Source organism: Homo sapiens (assembly GCF_000001405.40).
Source record: "Homo sapiens chromosome 22 unlocalized genomic scaffold, GRCh38.p14 Primary Assembly HSCHR22_UNLOCALIZED_CTG1".
Taxonomy (NCBI): Eukaryota; Metazoa; Chordata; class Mammalia; order Primates; family Hominidae; genus Homo; species Homo sapiens.
The window spans coordinates 137,677-145,256 of NT_187386.1; the positions used below are offsets into that span (position 1 = coordinate 137,677).

Sequence of the window (7,580 nt, forward strand, 5' to 3'; positions counted from 1 at the left end):
GAATCCAGGAGGCAGAGGTTGCAGTGAGCCAAGATCACACCACTGTACTCTAGCCTGGGCAACAGAGCGAGACTCTGTCTCAAAAAAGAAAAAAAAAAAGCTGAACACTTCCCAAATTTGATGAAAGACATGAAAATAAATATCCAGAAAACTCAATGGACTCCAAGTAGGATGAAAAAAAAAAGACTCATACTGAGACATTATAATTAGCCAGTAGGGCCTCTTGAAAGCACCAAGAGAGAAGCAACTAGTCACATGCTAGGAATATATAATAGGATTATAAGTAGATTTCTCATCAGACACTTTGGAGAACAGAAGACAATGGGATGACATATGTAAAGGGCTAAAAGAAAAACAACCACTACCTCTCAACCAAGAATCCTATATCCAGCAAAACTGTCCTTCAAAAGTGAGGAAGAAATTGGGAAATCCCCAAATAAACCAAAGTTGAGAAGTTTGCTACCATTAGACCTGCCCTGCAAGAAATCTTAAAGAGAATCATGCAGGTTGAAAAGAAAGAACACTAGATAGTAACTCAAAGCCATATGAAGAAATAAAGATGCCAGTAAAAGTAAATATATGGGAAAATATTAAATCTAGTATTATCGTAACTTTGGTTTAAAACTCCATGTTTTGCTTTCTACATAATTTAATAGACAAATGCATTAAAAACAATTATTAGTTTATGTTTATGGACACACAATGTACAAAAATGTAATTTTGTGACATTGATAACTGAAAGAGGAGTGGCAAAACTGTGAGGAGAGTTTTTGCATATTATTGAAATATAGCTGGTATGAATTCAAGTTAGAGTGCTATAACTTTAGAATGTTAAGTGTAATCCCTATGGTAACCACAAATAAAACATTATATAACATAAAAAAGTAAATGAGAAGGGAATTAAAACACTTCGCTACAAAAAATCAACTAAATACAAATGAGATCATGCAGGAAATGGACAAAAATGCTGTAAGGCATATAGAAAATGTATAGCAAAATGCCAGAAGTAAGTCCCCCCTTATCAGTAATTACTTTATTACTTTTTAAACCATTTTGTTGAGGAATGATTTACATAAAAACTGTACATATTTAACGTACACATCTTGATAAATTTACACCATAAAACCATTATCATCAAGCCTATAAACATATCCATCACCTTTTAAAATTTCCTTCTGCCTCTTTATTATTATTATTGTATAAAAAAATGTTTTTAATGGCCAGGTGCGGTGGCTCACGCCTGTAATCCCAGCACTTTGGGAGGCTGAGGCAGGCGGATCACCTGAGATCAGGAGTTGGAGAGCAGCCTGGCTAAGATGGCAAAACCCCATCTCTACTATAAATACAAAAATTAGCTGGGCGTGGTGGCGGGTACCTATAATCTGAGCAAAGTACTGGGAGGCTGAGGTGGGAGAATCTCTTGAACCTGGGAGGTGGAGGTTGCAGTGAGCCGAGACAGCACCATTGCACTCCAGCCTTAGCAACAAGAGTGAAACTCTGTCTAAAAAAAAATAATAATAATAAAAGTTTTTAATTAAACAATTTAAGAATATAGTATCATTTTCTGTGGGTACTATGCTGTATAGCTCTCCAGAACTTACTTATCTTGCATAACTGAAATTTGTACACTTTAACCATCAACTTCCCATTTCCTTCTCTTCCCCAGCTCCCAGCAACCACCATTCTGTTCTCTTCTTCTGAGTTTGACGTCTTTAGGTTCCACACATAAGTGAGATTGTACAATATTTCACTTTCTGTGTCTGGCTTATTTTACTTAACATAATGCCCTCCAGTCCATCTATGCATAGAAATGCAACTGATTTTTGGATGTTGACTCTGTATCTTGCTACTTTATTGAATTTATTACTTCTAACAGTCTTTTAGTGAAGTCTTTACAGTTTTCTATACATAAAAATATGTCATCTATGGAGACCATTTTACTTCCATTCTTATTTCTTTACTTGCTTAATTGTTCTGGCTAGGACTTCCAGTCCTATTTTGAGGAGAAATGGTGAGAGTAGGAATTCTTGTCTTGTTCTTCATCTTCGAGGAAAAACGTTCAGTCTTTCACTGTTGAGTATGTTACATGTGGTCTTCATTATGTTGAGGTACATTCCTTCTGCACCTAATTTGCTCAGTTTGTTGTTTTTTTTAATCATGAAAGGATGTTGAATTTTATCAAGTGCTTTTTAATAATAAAAATAAAGGATTTTTATCGTTTATTGTGTTGATGTGGTGTATCACATTTAGTGACTCTTGTATGTTAAAGCATCCTTGCATGCCAGAGATAAATCCCACTTGATCCTGGTGAATAATTCTTTTTTTGTTTTTTATTTATTTATTATTTATTTATTTTTTTGAGATGGAGTCTCGCTCTGTCATCCAGGCCTGAGTGCAGTGGCGCGATCTCGGCTCACTACAAGCTCCGCCTCCCAGGTTCACGCCATTCTCCTGCCTCAGCCTCCCTAGTAGCTGGGACCACAGGCACCCGCCAGCATGCTCAGCTAATTTTTTTTTTTTTTGGATTTTTGGTAGAGACTGGATTCATGGTGAATAATTCTTTTAATGCACTGTTGAATTTGGTTTACTAGTATTTCATTGAGGATTTTTGCATCTATGTTAACCAGGGATATTGACCTATAGTTTTCTTATTTTGTAGTGTTCTTATCTGGCATTGATATCAGGATAATGCTGGCCTCTTAGAATGAGTTTCAACGTGTTCCCTTTTCTTCAATTTTTTTGGAAGAGTTTGAGAAGGATTGTTATTAATTCTTTAAATGTTTGTTGAAATTGACCAGTAAAACCATTTGGTCCTGGGATTTTCTTTGTTGGGAGATTTTTCATTACTGGTTTAATCTCTACTTATTTTTTCTGTTTTTTTTTTTTTTTTAATTATACTTTAAGTTCTGGGGTAGCCGTGCAGAAAGTGCAGGTTTATTACTTAGGTATACATGTGCCATGGTGGTTTGCTGCACCCATCAACCCATCATTTACATTAGGTACTTCTCCTAATACTATCTCTCCCCTTGCCCCCATCCCCCAACAGGCCTCAGTGTGTGATATTCCCTGCCCTGTGTCCAAGTGTTCTCATTGTTCAACTCCCACTTATGAGTGAGAACATGCGGAGTTTGGTTTTCCGTTCCTGTAGTTTTCAGATGTGCTCTGGCCTCCAAGGACCATGAAGCCAGGCGGTGGTGGGGGGGTGTCCTCTGTATAAAAAGTGCTGTCCCAGGAACTTCCTGACGGACACTTTGGGGCATGTGAGCGATTCCTGGGGAGGGCACCTTGGCCTTCCTAAGGCTACCCCTGCAGCCAGCGCTGGCCATTCTCACCAGCAACCAACCAAAAAACATCAGAGTCCCTGTAAACCTGGTTGTGATGATAAAAACCAAATGTTTTCTAATCTAAGACTTGTATGCAGAACACAGAAAACTGCAGTTAAGGAACACCCTACAAAATTGACCAACAGTATTTTCCAAAAACATTTTTCATCACTTTAAATAATGTACAAAATCTACAAAAATCATATTTACCAGGACACATCTGTTAAATAAAAGCATTGTTTCGTGTTGGTATACATATATACAAGACTATGTATAACAGACTGTTTCCCCTCCCTGCAACCACAGAACCATCACACACAGGCACAGATACACGTCGGCTATGCCGCTTTCCACGAATGCATGGAACCCAGGACGCGAACCCACAGCTCGAGGTCTTATACCTTCACTACTGAGCTGCCGCCACTGCAGCAGCAACACCTCTGCGGAGGTGTTGCTGAAGTCACTGGTGTCCCTGCCCAAGGTGTCCTGGTCCTGGTCAACTCTACTGATTGACCCTTCGTGGATACCTCAGGTCTAAAATCCTTTCCTCCGAGCCAGAGCTCTTCCTGTTGTGCAAACTCAGCCCCGTCTGTACCTTCCTGCTTGGCCGGTGATCGCAGTCCTTCTTCGCCAGCAAGTGTGGGCTTCCAAAGACAAGGCTGGGCCTGGCCTGGGACTCCCTGAAGGCCGAGAAGGACAGGCCCTGCAGAGGCAGCCCCAGGTAGGGGCTGAAGAGGCCGGTCTCCCTGCCCCGCCAGGAGACACCCTTTCCAAAGTGGAAGAGCTGGGTGGACAGCAGCGGGGAGAAGCCCGCAAGGGGCAGGCTGGGCAGGCCCCGGGCGGGGCCCTCGGACCCCTTGTCTCTCTCTCCCAATGCCGCCCCCTCCACGCCGCATCTCTACCTTTGGAGCGCAGTGCCCATGGGCTGGGCAGCCGACTGTGGTGGGCAAAGTCACTCCAGGGCGGGGCGCGGTTGGCCTGGGCTCCAGCATCCCTCTCAGCTCCCGGGCTGGGGGTCAGGAAGCTCCGGTTCCTGCAGTCCACGTGAAAGGTCCCCCTGGCTCCTCCTGCCTCGGTGCCCGCTGTGGCACAGCTGGGCCGCTGACCAAAAGCACTTTTGGCAGCAGGCTCAGCCCCTCGTGGGCTCTGGTCTTTGTAAACGTAAACATTTCTCTTGCTCACTGAGAGACCTTGGCGGAGACACTGCCGCTGGTCCTCCTGGGTGGCGCATGATCCCCTCCGCCGGATCAGTGGGGAGCCCCTTCCCACCCTGGCTGAGCAGGCACGCTGCGCCCTGTGCTCCTGCGCTCCCTGCGCCTCGATGCCCTTTAGCCAAATGTGGGACCCCCCGGCCCTCTGGCTCCGTGTGCACATGCCAGGCAGTGGGGCCGGCTCCTTCCTGCAAGGTACCTCTGGCCTGGCTGGGCCCCCTGTCCCGAGAGCGGTGGGGCCCTCTGCCTGAACTTCTGAACTGCTCACCGACTCCTTGGCCTTTTCCACCAAAAACTTCCTAATCTCCAGTTCGATGCTATCGTCGCTGTCCACTGAACTGCTGTTGTCAGACAAGGAGCCAGGGCTGGGAGCTGGGCCCTGGGACTCTCTGGGGAATAGATTCTCTTCGGAGGCGGAGGCAGAAGCGGGTCTCCTCACCAGGAAGGCCGAGGCTTCGTCCTCTCGGCCCTGCTGCCAAAGACACTGGGGGGTTTCTTCCTGGAGCCCTCGCAGCTGTCTCTCTTGGACTTAGGCAGCTCTTCAGCACCTGCAGGTGCCTGTTTTTCCACTCTCTCAGGAGCCTGCCCAGCTGCTCCTGGAAGTGCGTCTGGGAGGTGCTGAACCTGACCTTCTTCCTGCACACAGCCCTGGGCTCCCTGGACCTCTTCTTGAGCTTTCACTTGGACCTTAACAAGTCCTTGATGGCTGTGTCCAGGTCCTTGTCACTGTCCAGGGAACTGCTTTTGTCTTCGGAGCTCTTCTTCTTGTCTAGGTGCCTTGCCTCGTCTGTCTTACCCTGGCCCTGTGACGTGCGAGTGTCACCGGGCACCCTAGCGGCGCCCTCTCCTCCCGGGGCCTCGCTGGCTGTGCCCTGGATGGAAAGGTCCCACCCTAGCGGCGCCCTCCCATCCCGGGGCCTCGCTGGCTGTGCCCTGGATGGAAAGGTCCCGCCCCTCATGGCCCGGCCCGGCTCTCCCCTGGCTGCGGTCGGCATCCTGGCCACCCTCTTTCCCCACCACCCGCATGTTCTTGGGAGTGGATGGCCTCACTTGGCAGCCGCCTCTATGCTTCCTTTTGCAGCCAGGAGTGGGTCCAGTGTTTTAGAGAGAGGGGCCTTGGGGCTGCCGGTCTGGCTGCTGAGGCCAGGTGGTGAAAGTGGGCCCTGGGCAGCCTGAGGGCAGCTCTCACCTCTGGCCAGCAAACTTCTAGACTGCACCTTGAGGGCCAAAAACGTCCAGATTTCCTGCTCAATGCTGTCGTCGCTGTCCACGGAGCTACTGTCACCATCAGAGCGGGAAGGCACGTTGGGGGAGTAGAAGAGTGGGCTTGCGGACAGGGACCCATCGCTGCCCTCCATAGGGCCGGCAGGATCGTCTTGAAAATGTCCAGGACTGCTTCTACACACATCAGCTCAGCGGAGGTGTCTGCCTGGCAAGAGGACCATTCCACAAACTTGCTCCTGGAAGCCGGGCTCGTTGGAGGTGGAGCTTTGGTTTCCTTTGGGATCTTGGGGGAATGGTCAGCGTCCAGATCCCCTGGACCAGGGTCCGTGGTCTTGGTGGGCACTGGCTTCTTCTTGCTGGGTGTTTTCCTGTGGGTCTCTGGCAAGGCACTTTTTGTGGCGCTGCTTGTGCTGTGTGCGGGAGGGGCAGGTGCTCTTTCCTCTTGGAGCTGGACCCTCTGGGGCGGGTCCCCGTCGGCCTCCTTGCGTGTTTTCTGCACCTGGTACAGCTGGATGGCCTCCTCAATGCCGTCGTCGCTGCTGGAGTCGGACGCCTCGGGCGCCTGTACGGCGCTCGTGACTCGCTTTCCCCTCCTTGCTGTGCTGGCGTTCCTTTTAATCCCACTTTTATTCTGTACTGCTTCTGAAGGGCGGTGGGGGTTGCTGGCTTTGTGCTGCCCTCCTTCTCCTGCGTGGTCGTGACCTTGGACCTGAGGCTTCTGGGCTGCACGTTTGTCTTTGCTAACCGGGGGAGGTCTGCAGAAGGCGAACTCCTTCTGGACGCCCATCAGGCCCTGCCGGTGCACCACCTTTGTAGCCGGCTCTTGGTGGGATTTCGAGAGTGACTTCGCCGAATTTTCATGTGTGTCTGGTTTCTTCTCCACTGACCCATCACATTTTTGGGTCTCATGCTGTCTTTTCTCATTCAGAAACTGTTCGATTTCTGCCCTGATGCTCTGCTCAAAGGAGTCTGCTCTGCTCATGCTGACTGGGGAGGCAGAGCCCTGGTCCTTGCTGGATCCCACCTGGCTGCCAGGGCCACACCACCTGAGCCAGGTACAAGTTTTGGGGAACACAGGGCAGTTGGGCACTGCTGTGAGCCAGTTCCGGCTTACATCTACTGCCTCCGCCTGCAGCCCTGGAAGGCTGTGCATGGCTGGGCCCCGCTGGCCCCGGGCTGTGCGGCTCCACTCTTTACCTTCAGGTACTCCTGGATGGCCTCCTCAATGTCCCGGTCCACGGAATCGTCACTGTCTGAATCTAGCACCAATGGGCCAAAGTCTGCAGTTTCCTCCTCCCCCACGGGGTCAAAGTCAGCAACAAGACCACAGGCAGCCAACGCAGGCAGCTCCTTGTGCATGGTGGGCTTGGCAGCAGGCCTGGCGTCGTGGCATCCCTCTGCCCCCTCTGCGCAGTGCGCTCATCGCTGGTGCCCCTAGCAGCCCTGTCGCTCTGCAGCGTGCTGATGAGCATCTGCACCCGGGTGCTCACCGACATGCTCTCCACGCCCTTGTCAGCCTCCGAGAAGCACCCGGGGAACCTAAAGCTCCCTGGTGGGACAGAGGCCACCCATTTGCGCTGGAGAGCAACCACTGGAGGAGCATTCATGAGAAACATTCTGGCAGATGGGGAGCGACGCGCAGAGGGGCGACACTTTATTTCTCTGCAGGCTTCACATCCTCCAAAGATTGGCAAGCAGTACCCGTGAAATAACTTTAAACCTGCAAATGCTTCTTTGCAGGTTTAAAAGGATGACTATAAACTATGACGTCATGCCTAGATTCATTCTTGACCCAACCAACAAGCTCTTGACATTCTCTGAG

General features: G+C 49.4%; 1 pseudogene; it reads right to left on the reverse strand.

Moving 5' to 3' along the window:
* Window positions 1-3,718: 3,718 nt before the first annotated feature.
* Window positions 3,719-7,374, reverse strand: LOC102724526 (protein phosphatase 1 regulatory subunit 26-like; annotated as a pseudogene).
* Window positions 7,375-7,580: the final 206 nt, after the last annotated feature.